This window comes from Homo sapiens, chromosome 16 (assembly GCF_000001405.40).
Source record: "Homo sapiens chromosome 16, GRCh38.p14 Primary Assembly".
NCBI lineage: Eukaryota > Metazoa > Chordata > Mammalia > Primates > Hominidae > Homo > Homo sapiens.
In genome coordinates this window covers 23,266,229-23,284,848 of record NC_000016.10, presented here as the reverse complement: position 1 = coordinate 23,284,848, position 18,620 = coordinate 23,266,229, and the positions used below count along the sequence as shown (strand labels likewise).

General features: G+C 45.3%; 1 protein-coding gene across 1 annotated transcript in view, besides 1 other annotated feature; it reads right to left on the bottom strand.

Moving 5' to 3' along the window:
• SCNN1B (sodium channel epithelial 1 subunit beta) overlaps positions 1-6,618 on the bottom strand; it is a 103,064-nt gene extending 96,446 nt beyond the window's left edge. The window contains exons 1-2 of the mRNA XM_017023525.2: positions 6,509-6,618; positions 1,045-1,112 (exon numbers count right to left, since the gene is read on the bottom strand). Of these exons, the coding sequence (XP_016879014.1) occupies positions 1,045-1,093 (49 nt within the window). The 5' untranslated portion in view covers positions 1,094-1,112; positions 6,509-6,618. The remainder of the gene's footprint in view (positions 1-1,044; positions 1,113-6,508) is intronic.
• Positions 4,422-4,944: an enhancer, noted in NCBI's record as "OCT4-NANOG-H3K27ac hESC enhancer chr16:23291226-23291748 (GRCh37/hg19 assembly coordinates)". NCBI's record gives its function as "activates a minimal SCP1, AML or CMV promoter by ChIP-STARR-seq in primed H9 embryonic stem cells {active_cell/tissue: H9 hESC(primed)}" and the evidence as "EXISTENCE:reporter gene assay evidence [ECO:0000049][PMID:30033119]".

The following is an 18,620-nucleotide window of genomic DNA, read 5'->3' as shown; positions in this document are numbered from 1 at the left end:
GAAAATCAGGATTTTCTATTTCTCCTGAGAAGTCAGCAGATCTGGCAACACTGAACTTGCATTCCTTGGCAGAAATTGGCTGAAAGTTACTTAGTAGGGCTGCCCCATTTAGACATGGGGTGTGCTCTCCAGTTTGACATGGTCCTCACCTCTCCCTAGAACTGGTTCACTCCATGCTTTTGTATGCTCTGTCTGACTGCTGTAGGCATCTGAGGTTGCTCCCTCTGGGTTAAGAGCACAGACTTTAGTGTTTGTCTGCCCTTCCCTCTGCCTCCTAGCTTTCTTTCTATTTATGGAGTGCCTTCGTTGTGCCAAACACTATGTGAGGTGCTGGAGTTCTAACAAGACCAACATGTGGGTTGTTGACCTGTTTGATCTTAGATCCATGCTCTGCCATTTTATTTTATTTATTTTCTTAATTTATTTTTATTTATTTATTTTTTTGAGATGGAGTCTTGCTCTGTTGCCCAGGCTGGAGTGCAGTGGCACTGTCTCCGCTCACTGCAATCTCCTCCTCCTGGGTTCAAGCAATTCTTCTACCTCAGCCTCCCGAGTAGCTGGGATTATAGGCACGTGCCACCATACCTGGCTAATTTTTGTACTTTTAGTAGGCACAGGTTTTCGCCATGTTGGCCAGGCTGGTCTTGAACTCCTGACCTCAGGTGATCCGCCCACCTCAGCCATCCCAAATGTTGGGATTACAGGTGCGAGCCACTGCACTCGGCCATCCCTAACATTTCTAATGCAAGGTACATTTCCCAAGCTCTACTGCCAACTGGTCAATTGACTTCTATCTAAATTGGGCCAAAAAGAGGCACTGGCAGGAGATTGGATGGTGGGACAAGGGGAGGAGCCAGGGCGGTCCTTCGTTCCCCAAATTCAGAGAACATTTCCCAACAGAGGCTGCACCTCCTCCATGGTTTAGCTTCTCACTGGGAAGCTCCTGCTGTGGTTCTAGCTCCTTCTAGGTGGACCAAGTTCTGAGCATGACCCAGCTCTGGGCATCGGTAACACCACATCCTCCCTGTGTCCCTCCAGCCCTACCTGTGAGAGTAGTTTCCTGATGTTGCTGAGTCCAGGATTGCTTCACCATCTCCGGCTTGGCTTCTCAGCTGTTGAATCATTTGTGTAATTAATTTCTTGTATCAAATTTCCTCTATTTGAATTGCCTACAATGGTTTTGTTTTTCAGGGACAATGCAGACAATCCCTGATTTACAATGGTTCAATTTAGGATTTTCTGACTTTACCATGGTGCAAATGCCATATATATTCAGTAGAAATTGTACCTGGAGTACCTATACAACCATTCTGTTTTTCACTTTCAGTGCAATATTCAATACATTACACAAGACATTCAACACCTTCTTATAAATTAGGCTTGGTGTTAGATGATTTTGCCCAATTGTAGGCTAAAGTAAGTGTCCTTCTTATTTTTGGAGATGGAGTCTTGCTCTGTTGCCTAGGCTGGAGTGCAGTGTCGTGATCTTGGGTCACTGCAACATCTGCCTCTCGAGTTCAAGAGATCCTCATATCTCAGCCTCCCGAGTAGCTGGGACTACAGGCATGTGCCACCGCACCTGGCTAATTTTTGTCTTTTTGGTAGAGATGGGGTTTCACCATGTTGGCCAGGCTGGTCTTCAACTCCTGACCTCAAGTGATCCACCTGCCTCAGCCTCCCAACGTCCTGGGATTACAGGCGTGAGCCACTGTGCCCAGCTTAACGTAAGTGTTCTGAGCTTAAGGGGAGCTAGACTAAGCTATGATGTTTGGTAGGTCAGGTATATCAAATGCATTTCAACTTGATGCAGGATAGGCAAGCCCCCAAGTTGGGGCTTAGCCTAGGAGGGTTCTTGGCTTTGTCCAGGAGAGAATTCAAGGTCAAGCTGGTAGTGTTAAACAGCAACTTATATTGAAGCCACAGCACACAGCAGCAGCAGAAGGACTGTTTCTTGCAGAGCAGGGCTACCTCATAGGCAGTGTGCCCAGAAAAGCAGCTCAGAGGCAGGGCTGTACTTGTATTTACACCTACTTTTAATTACATACAAATCAAGAGGCAGTTTATGCAGATGTTTCTAGAAAAAGTGGTGGTAACTTCTGGGTTGTCAGGTTGTTGCCATGGAAGGGGGCAGGCGTTGCCATGGCAATAGTAAACTGACATGGCACACTAGTGGGTGTGTCTTATGGAAAGTTGCTTCTGCTCTGGCCCTGTTTTAGCTAGTTCTCAATTTGGTCCAGTGTCCAAGCCCCACATCTGGAATGGAGTCATGCCTCCTACCTCAATTAAGATATTTTCAACTCATGATGGGTTTATCAGGATGTAACCCCATCATAAACCAAGGAGGAGTATTCATAGATTCCTTTCTTTATCTGTACTTATTTGCTTTGTGAATCTTGGCAAGTTACCTAATCTCTCTTAGCCTCAGCCTTTGTATCAGGAAAATGGGATAATAATAGTGCCTATCTCATGTTATTGTTGTAAAGATTAAATTAGAAGACACATAGTAGATGCTTAGCTCAGTTCTTGGCACCTAATAAATGTTTGAAAACCCTATCTGTTCTTCCCCCTCATTTTGGGGGGTACTAATTCCATCACTGTTTTTATTTATTGAAATTAAATTTTCTATTTTTATGGATTTATGGGTACAAGTGCAGTCGTGGTACGTGGATATAGTGTGTAGTGGTGAAATCTGGGTTTTTAATGTACCCATCACCCAAATAGTGTATATTGTACCTAATAGGCAGTGTTCCATCCTTCATCCCTTTCCCACCCTCCCACCTTTTGGAGTCTCCATGCCAGGCTAATTTTTGTATTTTTTCTGTAGAGACGGAGTTTCCCCATGTTGCCCAGGCTGGTCTCGAACTCCTGGGCTCAAGCAACTCACCCACCTCGGCCTCCCAAAGTGCTGGGATTACAGGCATGAGCCACTGCACCCGGCCAGTAAGTATTACTATTATGATCCCCAGTTTTCCACATATAAACAAGCACAGAGAGGTTAAGTGATTTGCCCAAGGTCACACAGCAATTAAATGAATAATCAGGAGGCAAACTCAAATATGTCTGATTTTCATACAGTCCATACAGCAGTTAAATGAAGAATCAGGAGGCAAACTTAAATATGTCTGATTTTCAAGTCTTGTGTTTTGGATGAATAAAACCAGGACATGTCAGAAACTTCCTCCTCTGTATGTCCATGTGTACCCATTATCTAGCTACCACTTATAAGTGAGAATATGTAAAAACCCTTATCTATTCTTATTCTAGGTTACAGAGTGCCAACTGTACCTGACCCCACCAGGGACAGCCAGGGACTTCTTTCTCTGTGCCTCCATGGACACACAGCTAATGTTTACTGAACAGCTGTTATGTACCAGAGTCTTAACTTATTCCATCGTTTTTGTTTGTTTATTTGTTTTGAGACAGAGTCTTGCTCTGTCACCCAGGCTGGAGTGCAATGGTGTGGTCTTGGCTCACTGCAACCTCCCACTCCAGAGTTCAAGTGATTCTCCTGCCTCAGCCTCCGGAATAGCTGGGATTACAGGTGCCAGCCACTACGCCCAGCTCATTTTCCTATTTTTAGTAGAGATGGGGTTTCACCATGTTGGCCAGGCTGGTCTTGAACTCTTGACCAAAGATGAACCACCCACTTTGGCCTCCCAAAGTGTTGGGATTACAGGTGTGGGCCACCGCCTTATTTAATCTTAATAAAAATCTTTATGGAATGGCTATTACTGTTCTTCCCATTTTCCAGATGAGAAAATCAAATCACTGGGTCTCAGGGCTTGTACAGAAGAGGAGGCACGATTTGTGCCTAAGCAGTCCACCTCCAGGGTCCATGCATTTTAACCTGTACTCTAAATTTTTCTGGCATGTTGGACATCATTGTTACAGGATGTAAGGAAGTGTCTCTCTCCTCAAGTAGCCCACAGCCTGAGCTGGCTCATTAATTACTAAGCACAATGCAATGTGATATTTGCAGATCGTTTGTGTGCTTGTTAATTTATTCAGTCATTCATCCGTTTATTCATTCAGGAAGCTCTGAACACCAATTATGTGCCGATCCTGTGCTAGGGGCTGGTGAGGAGGCACATGGTCACTTGGGGAACCCAGACCACACCTTCTCTAGCCACTGACTGCATAGTGGTGAAAGAGGAAGCTTCTGACATTTCCTGGTGTTATTCTTCCAAAGCACAAGACTAGAAAGTCAGACATATTTGAGTTCGCCTCCTGATTATTCATTTACTTGCTGTGTGCCCTTGGGAAAATTGCTTAACCTCTCTGTGCTTGTTTAATACGTGGAAAACTAGAGCTCATAATAATAATACCTACCAGCCAGGCATGGTGGCTCACGCCTATAATCCCAGCACTTCGGGAGGCCAAGGCAGGTGGATTGCTTGATCCCAGGAGTTCCAGCCTGGGCAACATGGGGAAATCCCATCTCTACCAAAAATACAAAAATTAGCCGGCATAGTGATGCATGCCTGTGGGCCCAGCTACTCAAGAGGCTGAGGTGGGAGGATCACTGGAGCCTGGGAAGTTGAGGCTGCAGTGAACTGTGATCGTTCCACTGCACTCCAGCCTGGGTGACAGAGTGAGACTCTGTCTCAAAAAAAAAAATTAAAATTAAAAAAATAAAAATAAAAATGATACTTCCCTCTCAAGCTTCATGTAAGAGCGAAACAAGAGGATGAACGCAAAGCCCCTGGCGGAGTGCTGGGCACACGGAAAGGACTGAACCCATTGTTACTACTAACTGTTGGTGATGGTTGTTAACTGCGCATGACCACCAACAATGGAAGATTGTTGTTCTAAAATCTGCATCCCTTAGTTTGGCAAAATTTCGGTGGTGCTAGCAAACCAGGTGCATTCCTTCTGGCTTTTCAACCGACAAGTCTCAGCAGGATGAAAACAGTGCTAGTAGGCATGACAGATGCATCTTTACTGAATACACAAAGTCAGCTGTTGTTCTCCAGGGGCTCTGCAGAAACACTGGAGAGAGCTCGGAGCTCTGCAGGCTTCCTCCACCCTCCCAGCAAGCCCGGCCCTGCCTGGCTCCAGATCAGTCATGCCTGGCTGGGTTTAAAGAGCTGCAACCCATCTGAACGTAGAAGGTACGAATTTCACTCCACAATCTTGGACGTGCAACACATAAAAGTGTTTACTTTTCTGTAACGAAGTAATTTGTATTTCTGTCCTCTTCAAAAAAGAAGCAGAAAATTAAATATCAGCCAGTTCTGAGCCCAAAGATAAGCTATATGCGGAGGACTCCCAAATTTCTTCAGCATTTTCCCTGAAATCCAAGCACATCTATCTGTGTCCTTGACAATCTCACTTGGATGTTCATTAGACATCTCCAAATTAAGAATTATCCAGCACTGAACACCAGAAGCTTCTCCCTCACCCTCCTCCTTGTGTAAGTTTTCTCCATCTCAGTAAATGGCAACCCTGATCTTTAAGGTTTCAGACCACGGCTGGGCGTGGTGGTTCACACCTGTAATCCCAGTAGCTTGGGAGGCTGAGGTGGGCAGATCACTTGAGCCCAGGAGTTCAGGACCAGCCTGGCCAACATGGTGAAAACCCGTCTCTACTAAAAATACAAAAATTAGCCAGGCGTGGTGGTGGGCACCTGTAATTATTCCAGCTACTTGGGAGGTTGAGGCAGGAGAATTGCTTGAACCCGGGAGGCAGAGGTTGCAGTGAGCCAAGATTGCTCCACTGCACTCCAGCCTGGGTGACAGAGTCAGCCCCCATCACACACACACACACACACACACCCCACACACACAAAATTTTCAGACCAAAGACTTTGGAGGCTTTTTTTCAACACCCGCCCCCTCCCCTTTTTTTTTATTAAGGTGAGATTCACAGAACATAAAATTAGCCATTTCATTTCATTTTTTATTTTTTTAGAGGCAAGTTCTCACTCTGTCGTCCAGGCTGGAGTGCAGTGGTACGATCATAGCTCACTGCAGCCCCCAACTTCTGTGCTCAAGTGATCCTCCCACTTCAGCCTCCCAAGTAGCTGGGACTACAGGTGCATGCAATCAAGCTGGGCTAATTTTTTATTTTTTGTAGAGATGTGAGGGGTGGGGGGGTCACTATGTTGCCCAGGCTGATCTTAAGCTCCTGGCCTCAAGCAATAAAATTAACCATTTTAAAGTGAACAATCCAGTACCATTGAGTGCACTCAGATGTTATGCAACCATCACCTCTAATTCCAAAACATTTGTATCACCCTATAAGAAAACCCCATACTCATTAAGCAGTTACCCCCCTCCCGTCTCCCACTACCCCCTGGCAATTGGCAGTCTGCCTTCCATCTGCATGGATTTACCTATTCTGGACATTTCACATGAATTGAATCATACAATATGTGGACAGGCTATCCAGCCTGGGTGACAGTGTGAGACTGTCTCAAAACAAAGCAAAACAAAACAAAACTACAGATCATCTCTCTCTAAATGTCCCATAGGCACCACAAACTTGACAAGCCCAAAGTGAAACTCACCCCACTCCCAAATAGCCGAGGTTGTTGTCCTTCTTGGCAACAACTTAGAGGACCTGACTTCTTCCACTTAGCCAAGTGTTTTGAGGTTCAAGCATGTTTTAGCCTGTATCAGCACTTCATTCCCCTTTAGGGTTGATCCTACTCTCTTACAACGCACAGCCAATCAGCCAGTGAAGCCAGCTGAGTCTACCTTCAAAGTATTTCTAGAATGGATTCATTTCTCACCATTTCCACTGCTGGCACTTCATTCCCCCTCCCCAATATAGCATCACCTGTCACCTGGATCACCTGGATTTTCTTACTTCTGTCCTTCATGCTTCCCCCTCCCTCCCCACCCTGCCTGGTCCTTTTTTTTTTTTTTTTTTTTGAGACGGAGTCTCAGTGGCACGATCTCGGCTCACTGCAACCTCTGCCTCCCTGGTTCAAGCAATTCTCCGGCCTCAACCTCCCAAGTAACTGGAATAATTACAGGAGGAGAATCGCTTGAACCCAGGAGGTGGAGGTTGCAGTGAGCAGAGATTGCACTGCTGCACTCACTCCAGCCTAGGCAACAGAGCATCTCAATATATATATATATATTTGTTAAATTAATGAATTTTGGGATCTTCACTCTTTTCTCTTTGGTGGTGTCTGAGTTCCAAAGGGCTTACAAAGTGCCAAGATGTCAAGGAAAGGTGTCTTCTATATATATATATATATATATTTTTTTTTTTTTTTTTTTTTTTGAGACAGAGTCTTGCTCTGTTGCCCAGGCTGGAGTCCAGTGGAGTGATCTTGGTTCACTGCAACCTCCACCTCCTGAGTTCAAGCAATTCTCGTGCCTCAGCCTCCCAAGTAGCTGGGATCACAGGTGCACGCCACCATGCCTGGCTAATTTTTGCATTTTTAGTAGAGACAGGGTTTCGCCATGTTGGCCAAGCTGGTCTCGAACTCCTGGCTTCAAGTGATCCACCCGCCTTGGCCTCCCAAAGTGCTGGGATTACAGGTGTTAACCACGGTGCCTGGCTGCATCTTCTATCTTAAAATGAGGAATACCTTCCATGGACATGCTAAATTTTCCTCCGACACTGTTCTGAATTCTTTCATTCCTTCACAGCAATGCTCCTGATTGAGTGGCCTTCATCTCCCCTCCTCGTCAATCCGGGGCAATCTGGCTCTTACCAACACATCAACTTCCTTCCTGTCCAAAACTGATGGATGGTTTTCAGCCCTTGATTTAGTTTGCCTCTCTGCAAATACTGTTGCCTGCACATGCTTTCGTGAAATTGTCTCTTTCCTTGATCTTCATGATGTCACGCTCTCATTGTCTTTTGTCCTCAGATGCTACACTGCTTTGTATCAGATGCTTGTGTGAGCTCCACTTCCTCTGCTCACTCCTTAAATGTTGGCATTCCACAGGGTTTCAGTCCAGGCCTTGTTCTTTCTCCTGTTTCTCTCCTTCCTCCTCTCCCTGGAATGAACTTATTGACTCTCATGACTGTATCCTCAGCCTGAATCTTTTTCTTGATCTCTAGGCCCATATATAATTGACTACAAGGCTGGGTCCAGCTTACATCTGTAATCCCAGCACTTTGGGATGCCAAGGCAGGAGGATTGCTTGAGGCCACCAGTTCAAGGCCAGCCTGAGCAACATAGTTGGGACCCCCTCAAAAATTTAAAAAATTAACTGGGCATGGTAGCACCTGCCTGTAATCTCAGCTGTCTGGGAGGTCGAGGCAGGATGATCGCTTGAGCCCAGGAGTTCGAGGCTGCAGTGAGCTATGATTACACCACTGTACTCCAGCCTGAGCAATGGAGTGAGACCCTGTCTCTTAAAAAGAAAGAAAGAAGCCAGGCACGGTGGCTGATGCCTGTAATCCCAGCACTTTGGGAGGCCAAGGTGGGTGGATCACGAACGAGTTCAGGAGTTCAAGACCAGCCTGGCCAACATGGTGAAACCCTGTCTCTACTAAAAATACAAAAATCAGCTGTGCATGTTCACGGGCATCTGTAATCCCAGCTACTCGAGAAGCTGAGGCAGGAGAATCACTTGAACCCTGGGAGGTGGAAGTTGCACTGAGTTGAGATTGCACCATTGCACTGCAGCCTGGGTGACAAAGCAAGATTCTGTCCTCCCTACAAAAAAAGAAAGAAAGAAGTAAAGAAAGAAAGAAGGAAAGAAAGGAAGGAAGGAAGGAAGGAAGGAAAGAAAGGAAGGAAGGAAGGAAGGAAGGAAGGAAAGAAAGAAAGAAAGAAAGAAAGAAGGAAAGAAAGAAAGAAAGAAAGAAAGAAGAAAGAAAGAAAGAAAGAAAGAAAGAAAGAAAGAAAGAAAAATTAACTACAGAGCAATGCTCTCTAAATGTCCAGTAGGTACCACAAACCTGACAAGTCCAAAGTGAACTAATCCCACCCCCCAAACTGCTGGGATTGTTGTCTTTCTTGGCTAATGGAATCACCAACCATTCAGCTATCCCACAGGTAAACTCAGCCCTCATCCTTGTTTATCTGTTTTGCTTAGTTGCCCATCTCATCCATTATGAATCCTCTAACCCCATTTCCTGATATCTGGAACTCTCACTGCCCTCTGCAGCCACTCCTGTAGTTTAGACTGTCATCTTTTCTCACCTTCACAGCTGGTCTCCTGCTATCTTCTCTGCTTTTCCCCTCCAGTCTATTCTCCATATACAAACGAGATAAATTTTTCTGGAATGCAAATTTATCCTGAATTTCAGATCCTTCCATGGCTTTGATCATTATTGGGATAAATTCCTTGACCCAGCTTATAACACCCCGCCTGGTCTAGCCCCTGTGGTTGCTCCACCATCATGGCTTGCCTTCTGCTCTCTAGATAGACAGAACGTCCTTCTTGTCTTCAACATGCCATGATTTTCAATGCTTTTCATTTTTGCTTACATTGATCTGTTTGTTGGCAACATTGCCCTTCCCTTCCTCCCTTTCCTTCATCCTGATAACTCTTAACATATCTTCCAGGTATCAGCTTAGAAACCATTCTTCCAGGGAGTTTCCCCATCTTCCCAAGTCTGGCACAGCACAGACTGCTACGTGTTTACCAAACCCTGGTTCTTTTTCTTCTTGGGCTCATAGTTGGACTACATTTCCCAGGCTCCCATGCAGACGAGTGAGACCATGTGACTGAGTTCTGGCCAACTGAAAGTGGGTAGAATGATGTACATCTATTCAAGGTCTGTCCTATGAAAACCTTCCATGTTATCTTCCACAGTGTTCTTTCCCTCCCCTAGGTGGATGCAGAGGATCTGACAGGGAACTGACATTCTTATGGGAGGGCAGTGGAGCCATTAGATAGAAGGAGCCTGGGTCACTGAATGACTATGTGGAGCAGAGTCCCACCTACCCTTTCCTCAACCAGCATTAGATTGTAACATAAGTGAAAAATAAACTTTATTGTATTAAGACACTGAGATTGGAAGTTTGTCTGCTATAGCAATTAGCCTACCCTGATAAATATATCTGAATTATTTGGTCTCTTCTTCCCCACTCCCATTATCCCGAAGAATTCTTTCCTCCCCAACCACGGCACTGACTATATTGATAACAACATTCTCTCTCTCTTTGTCTGTCTACCTGACCATGAAGGTGTGGGAGGACCTGGATCATGCCTGTCTCTTCCTAGATAGAAACCAGCATTCAGCTCAGCACGTGGCCTGTAGCAGCCACTAAGTAAATATTTGTGGAATTGTTTATGTGGTTATTGAGTTATCTGTTCCTGAGTGCCTGTTTTGGTAACTTCCCTAGGACCAGATTCCTCCTACCTCTCACCATTCCTCTCCAAACACTCAGGTCCTGCCCTTGAACCAGCCCAGTGGCTGGAGCTCTCTGATATCACAGCTCCTGCAACAGATCCACCTCTTGGAATTCCAAAGAGTGCCAGGGTTCCCAGGCCTGGGCCTCCACCCACCTGTTAGTATCCCTGACATGGCCTGATTTTCTAGCACCTGCTGTCTGGATGTTACATTTTTCTCTGCTGAACTGGACTTCTTTTCAAGTCCTGCAACTTTATTGGTTCAGAGCCTAGGCTCTGGCAATGGGATAATTATTAAGATGTGTTGTTAAATGAAACGAAGTCAGGGACAGGAAGCGGGGTATATACTATGCCATCATTTGTAAAATATAACAAACATAAATATATACTGGAGTTTACATAAAACATTAGAACAGGGGTGTCCAATCTTTTGGCTTCCCTGGGCCACACTGGAAGAAGAAGAATTGTCTTGAGCCACACATAAAATACACTAACACTAACGATAGCTGATGAGCTAAAAAAAAAAAAAATTGCAAAAAAAAAATCTCCTAATGTTTTAAGAAAGTTTATGAATTTGTGTTGGGCTGCATTTAAAGCTGTTCTGGGTTGAATGCAGCCCATGGGCAGTGGGTTGAACAAGCTCACATTGGAAGAACACATCGGAAATCGGAAGTAATGGGTGGGTGGAGGATTAGAGTCCTCGGAGTGATTGAGGGAGGGAGATTTATCTTTTATTCATTTGCACTTTGTATAGCGTGAATAACAACCCCCCAAAGATGTGCACACCCCAATTCCTTGAGCTGTGAACGTATTACCTTACATTGCAAAAGAGACTTTGCAGATGTGATTATTAAGATCTTGGAATGGAGGCATCATCTTGGATTATCTAAGCAAGCTCAATATAATCACAAGGTTGGCTGCAAGAATGGAAGGCAGGCAGCCTCTAGGGCTGGAAAAGTCCAGGAACAGTTTCTCACTGGAGCTTCCAGGAGCAACACAGCCATGTGCACCCCTCAATTTTAGGACTTCTCATCTCCAACACTGTAAATAATAAATATGTGCTGCTTTTTTAAAAAAGTATTTTTACTTTTGTTTATATTTTATTTGATATATTTATTTATTTTTTTGAGATAGAGTTTCGCTGTTGTTGCCCAGGCTGGAGTGCAATGGTGTGATCTCGGTTCACTGCAATCTCCGCCTCCCGGGTTCAAGCGATTCTCCTGCCTCAGCCTCCCAAATAGCTGGGATTACAGGCATGTGCCACCAGGCCCAGCAAATTTTGTATGTTTTAGTAGAGATGGGGTTTCACCATGTTGGTCAGGCTGGTCTCGAACTCCTGACCTCAAGTGATCCACCCGCCTCGGCCTCCCAAAGTGCTGAGATTACAGGCATAAGCCACCTTGCTCAGCCTTTTGTTTATATTTTAGAGACAGTGCATTGCTATGTTTCCCAGGCTGGGCTTGAACTCCTGGGCTGAAGCGATCCTGACACCTCGGGCTCCCAAAGTGCTGGAATTACAGGCATGAGCGAACACACCCAGCAACTCGTGCTGTTTTAAACCACCACATTGGCCACATTCACAGTAATTTGTTGTAGCAGCAATGGGGAATTGATATTTGGAATTGTAATACTTGGAAACTTACGTTGAGAATGTTTTTCTATGTTTTCAAAATTTTAATGAAAATACATATGCAATCCAGAAAGCCTACTCTTTAGGCTTCGTCCCCTAGAAAGAAAAGCATCAGGACCCAAAGACATGAGTACCAGGAAGTTACTGCAGCATCGTTTGTGGCAAAATGCGGAAACAGTGACTGCCCATCAATACAGAGTGGGAGAACGCATACTGGTGCATCCATTATGCACCATTATTCGTACCACGGAATGTTATGCTGCCACGTGTTATGCTACCACCAAATGTTATGCTGCCACTACACTGTTGGATTAGAGTCACACTGGATAATCTGAAGAATTTCCGCCGGGCGCGGTGGCTCACGCCTGTAATCCCAGCACTTTGGGAGGCAGAGGCGGGCGGATCATGAGGTCAAGAGATCGAGACCATCCTGGCTAACACAGTGAAACCCCGCCTCTACTAAAAATACAAAAAATTAGCCGGGCGTGGTGGCGGGCACCTGTAGTCCCAGCTACTCGGGAGGCTGAGGCAGGAGAATGGCGTGAACCCGGGAGGCAGAGCTTGCAGTGAGCTGAGAACGCGCCACTGCACTCCAGCCTGGGCGACAGAGCGAGACTCCGTCTCAAAAAAAAAAAAAAAAAAAAAAAAGAATTTCCACAAGGCATAACTGAGTGGAAAAATTAAGAAAGGAAAAAGTGTATATAAGACGAATCCATATTTTTGTTTAAAAAAGGACAAAATTACAAAAAACTTGTGTATGTATATGCAATGTGTGTGTATGCGTATGCATGTGTGTAGGCATGTGTGTGTGTGTGCTAGAGAGAAACAGAGAGAGGGCGAGGTGTTGGGGGGATGAGAAGAGAATAGGATTATATAAGAATTAAGAAAAATGGCTGGGAGTAGTGGCTCACACCTGTAATCCCAGTGCTTTGGGAGGCCAAGGCAGGTGGATCACCTGAGGTCAGGAGTTGGAGACTAGCCTGGCCAACATGGTGAAACCCCGTCTCTACTGAAAATACAAAATTAGCCAGGTGTGGTGGTGCATGCCTGTAATCCCAGCTACTTGGGAGGCTGAGGCAGGAGGATTGCTTGAACCCAGGAAGCAGAGGTTGCAGTGAGCTGAGATCGTGCCACTGCACTCCAGCCTGGCTGACAGAGTGAGACTCTGTCTCAAAAAAAAAAAAAAAAAAAAAGAAAAAGAAAAAGAAAAATAGGCTGGGCACTGGCATTGTGGCTCACACCTGTAATCCCAGCACTTTGGGAGGCTGAGGCAGGTGGATCACTTGAGGCCAGGAATTCGAGACCAGCCTGGCCAACATGGCGAAATCCCATCTCTACTAAAAAATACAGAAATTAGCCAGGTGGGGTGGTGCACTCCTGTGGTCCTAGTAACTTGGGAGGCTGAGGCAGCAGAATCGCTTGAACCTGGGAGATGGAGGTTGCAGTGAGCCAAGATCCTGCCACTGCACCCCAGCCTGGGTGATAGAGTGAGATCCTGTCTTAAAAAAAAAAAAAGAAAGAAAGAAAAGAAAAATATAGAAGGTCATGCACTTGATTTTTATAAGTTACCTGGGAGGGACCCATGGGAAGAGGAGGAATGAGACAGGGAGAAGGAGCCAAGAAAGTAAGAAAAAAAAAAAGCGTGCTCTAAAAAAGCACTCATAGGATTACACTTCTGAACCTGTGTACGATGATGCATGAATGTGGATATACATATCGAAGGAAAAGATTCACTTGCAAGAGAGCCTACCAAAACAAACAAGACCACAACAACCATAAGATGTTTACCTTGCGTGCAGGATAAAGCAAAATCCAAAAGACCACAACAGTTTAAAAACTCAGGAATGTAAATCACAATTCAGCTACTGTGGAAAGCAGTTTGGAGATTTCCCAAAGAACTTACAACAGAATTACCATTTCACTCAGCAATCCCATTACTGGGTACATACCCAAAGTAATATAAATCATTCTACCAAAAAGACACACCCATGTGTATGTTCATTGCAGCACTATCCGCAATGGCAAACACATAGCATCAACCTAGATGCCCATCAACAGTGGAGTAGATAAAGAAAATGCGGTATATATATGCACCATGGAATACTACGCAGCCATAAAAAAGAATGAAATTATATCCTCTGTAGCAGCATGGATGCAGCTGGAGGCTGTTATGCTAAGCAAATTAACAGAGGAACAGGAAACCAAGCACCACATGTTCTCACTTATAAAGTATTATCTAAACATGAAGTACACATGGACACAAAGAGGGAAACAATAGATGCTGGGGCCTGCTTGAGGGTGGAGGGTGGGAGGAGGGTGAGGGTTGAAAAACTACCTCTTGGTACTATGCTCACTACCTGAGTGATGAAATCATTTGTACAATTGTTCAAACCCCAGCGACCACAATTTACCCATGTAACAAACCTGCACACATACCTGCTGAACCTAAAAGTTGAATAATAATAATAATAATAATAGAAGCGCAGGCTCCAGAAGATGGACTGGGATCATTATCTGGTTCTATCTATACCTTTCCTACTGGGAGATTCTGGACAAGTTCTGTAATTTCTCCAAACCTCAACTCCTTCCTCTTCTGTAAAATATGGATCATGGCTGGGCGTGGTGGCTCTTGCCTGTAATCCCAGCACTTTGGGAGGCTGAGGCGGGCGGATCACCTGAGGTCAGGAGTTCAAGACCAGCCTGGCCAACATGGCAAAACCCATCTCTACTAAAAATACAAAAATTAGCTGGGCATGGTGGTGGGCGCCTGTAATCCCAGCCACTTGGGAGGCTGAGGCAGGAGAATCGCTTGAGCCTGGGAGGTGGAGGTTGCAGTGAGCCAAGATTGCATCATTGCACTCCAGCCTGGGCAACAAGAGTGAGACTCCATCTCAAAAAAACACAAAAACAACAACAACAAAAAACTAGATCATAACAGTATCTTCTCCAGAGAGTTGCTGAAAGGAGTGAATATGAAATGAGATTGTAACTGTAAAACACTTAGCTCCATGCCTGATTGGCCATAAGTGGGCAATAAATTAGGGCCATAAATGTCTCAGTGCTGGTCTGGCAAGAGTGCACCAACATAGCATGGGGGTGATTTGACCAGTGGACAGGAACCTGGAAGCATGGCTCGCCCTGTTCATGCTAAGGACCAACATGTGATCAGTGAGGGTGTGGGTAGGAAAAACACAATGTCCCCACCAACTACTGGCTGAGCCAAAGTTTTGGGCAGAGCAGGTGTGGGGCTGAGTTGTTGGGAGGGGATACTTGATCTTAAGGGTGGCACCAGGTCCTGTCCTGGTGGTTCTCTGTGACTGGTGTCTCTGGCTGGGAAGTCCTGGTCATAGATTAGTCTTCACTGTGTTTCAGATGATGCAACCTGGGTTCACAGTGAGGAAACCTCCTCGGAGGCAGCATCACATATGAGGGTCAGTCCAACAAGTCTGGACACAGGAGAGAGCCTGCTTGTCACACTGCATGGGACAAACTAGGACAATATTTAGGAACAGCTCAGTGGACAGTGCGAGGCTTCTGTTGGCTTAGTATTATTTCTACCAAGCTTTTAACATCCGCATTGGTCTCCTTTCCTGGCTTCTCGTAACTGGATTCACTGATATTCCCCAACCCAGAACCAGATCCACCCCCGTTCCTGTACCAGTCCTGATCTCAACCTCATTTGCTTTCATTTTCTTAGCACTTGCCTGATGCTTTTCCCATCCTTTTATTTTCAAAACTTCTTTTATTTAAAAAAATGTATCTCAGCTGAGTGTGCTGGCTCATGCTTATAATCCCAGTGCTTTGGGAGGCCAAAGCAGGAGGATCACTTGAGTCCAGGAGTTCAAAACCAGCCTGTGCAACACAGTGAGTTCCTGTCTCTACAAAAATAAAAATATTAGCAGGATGTGGTGACATACACTGGTAGTCCCAGCTATTCGGCATGCTAAGGCAAGAGGATCGTTTGAGCCCAGGAGTTCAAGGTTGCAGGGAGCTATGATCATACCACTGTACTGTAGCCTGGGTGACAAAGTAAGATTCTATCTCTAATTTAAAAAACAGATCAAATCAAATGTGTGTGTGTCTGTATGTGTGTATATATATATCTTGTAAGTAATATGTAGCTGATTTTGCTTTTATAAAACAAAAGTCAGAGCATCTCTGAGTCTTTGACTTTACATGAGGGAATTTAACCCATTCACATATACTGTAACCATTGATAAGTTTCATGGTGTCCTTGTCATCCTATTTTATGTTTTGTATTTATTTTGCATAATTGATTTTTATCCCTTTTCTAGTCACTTGAAAGTTCCACATCTTATTTTAATTCTATTAGTGATATTATTATTTTTTTTTGAGACAGGGTCTCACTCTGTCACCCAGGCTGGGGTGTAGTGGCATGATCAAGGCTCACTGCAGCCTCAGCCTCCCAGGCTTAAGCAGTCCTCTCACCTTTCAGCCTCCTGAGTAGCTAAAACTACAAGTGCATGCCACCACGCCCAGCTAAATTTTTTTTTTTTTTTTTTGGTATTTTTCATAGAGATGAGATTTCGCCATGTAACTCAGGCTGGTCTTGAACTCCTGGGCTCAGGTGATCCTCCTGCATTGGCCTCCCAAAGTGCTGGGATTAAAGACATGCACCACCACACCTGGACAGTGATCATTAACCTTAGATTCTTTTTTTTTTTTTTTTTTTTGAGATGGAGTCTCACTCTGTTGCCCAGACTGGAGTGCAGTGGCTATCTCGGCTGGGGTGGGAGGATCTTTTGAGCCCAGGAAGCTGAGGCTGCAGTGAGCTGAGATTGTGCCATTGCACTCCAGCTTGGGTGACAGAGCTAGACCCTATTGAAAACAAATACATAAATAAAAAACCCAAAAAACCTCGCCAATCCTGAACTGTTTACCCTGCTCCCTTTTGCCTGTCCTGGGGAAACCCTCGCTCCTGCCTTCTGTCTCCTGACCACCCCGAGGCTTCCCCATGTGGCCGTGTGTGACAAGCCTTGCTTCTTGTTTCTAGAACCTGTGAGTATAATAAACGTTGTCCTCCTAGGCCTCCACTATGCTCCTTGTGGCTGCACCTGACCAGCACATAAAAGAACACAGAACCGCCTTCCTTCACAGGAGCACTGACTCAAGCACATGAGATAGACATTGATAAACTATTATGCAACTAAACATAAAATTATAACCACGTGGAAATTCTGTGAAGATGAGGTTCATGGTGCACTGAATGTTTGAACAGGGAGATGTGACCTAGGGTTGGGAGGTCAGGGAAGGCTTCCTTGAGGAAATGACATGTGAGTGAGATCTGAAAGGATAAGCATTAGAAATTAACCAGACAGAGAGGTGGCCAGATAGAGTAGCTCAAGCCTGCAATCCCAGCACTTTGGGAAGCCAAATTATGGGGATAGCTGAGCTATGATTCTACCACTGCACTCCATCTTGGGTGACAGAGCGAGATCCTGTCTCAAAAAAAAAAAAAAAAAAACTGCTGGAAGATTTCCCAGGCAGAAGAAACAGCGTGTGCAGCAGCTTCGAAGCTGGAGGGGGCATGTAGGGTGACCAACCATCCCAGTTTTCCTGAGGCTGAGTGGGTAGCGTGGGTTTTGGGCACTAGATTTTCAGTTTTTTGTTTTTTTGTTTTTTGAGACTGAGTTTTGCTCTGTAGTCCAGGCTGGAGTGCAGTGGTGCAATCTTGGCTCACTGCAACCTCCATCTCCTGGATTCAAGCGATTCACCTGCCTCAGCCTCCTGAGTAGCTGGGATTACAGGCATGTGCCACCATGCCCAGCTAATTTTTGTATTTTTAGTGGAGACGGGGTTTTGCCATGTTGGCCATGCTGGTCTTGAACTTCTGACCTCAGGTGTTCTGCTCGCCTCAGCCTCCCAAAGTGCTGGGATTACAGGTGTGAGCCACTGCGCCTGACCTAGACTTCAGTTTTATTTTATTTTTAATTTAATTTAATTTATTTATTTATTTGAAATGGAGTCTTCTGTTGCCCAGGCTGGAATGCAGCAGTGTAATCTCGGCTCACTGCAACCTCCACCTCCCGGGTTCAAGAGATTCTCGTGCCTCCGCCTCTGGAGTAGCTGGGATTACAGGCACGCGCCACCATGCCCGACTAAGTTTTTTGTATTTTTAGTAGCGACGGGGTCTCAGCATGTTGCCCAGGCTGGTCTTGAACTCCTGGTCTCCTGTGATCAGCCCACCTCAGGCTCCCAAAGTGCTGGGATTACAGGCATGAGCCACCATGCCTGGCCTAATTTTTTTTATTTTTTTGTAGAGACGAAGTCTTGCTATGTTGTCCAGATTGGTCTCAAACTCCTAGGCTCAAGCAATCTTCCCATCTCTGTCTTCCAAAGTGCTGGGATTATAGGTATGGGCCATCCCTCCTGGCGCATATATATATATGTAAAAGAGGGTCTTACACTGTTGTGTAGGCTAGCGTACAGTGGCTATTCACAGGTGTCAGGCACTGATGGTGGTAGCTGGGAGAATGGAGAGAAGACAGACTCTAGGGACATCCAGGGGACTAAAGCAACAGATCTTGGTTATTGGTCTGGGATATCCAGGATATTGGCAGTAGAGTGAAGGAGGGTATTGAAGCCAGCCTCCCTCCAGGAATCCTTGGACTTGTTTTAAAGACTTTTTCTGTGAATAGCTGGTGCCCTGATGTGGACCAAACAGCCTAGAAAGTTGCCTGCAACCAGTTTGGCCACGAAAA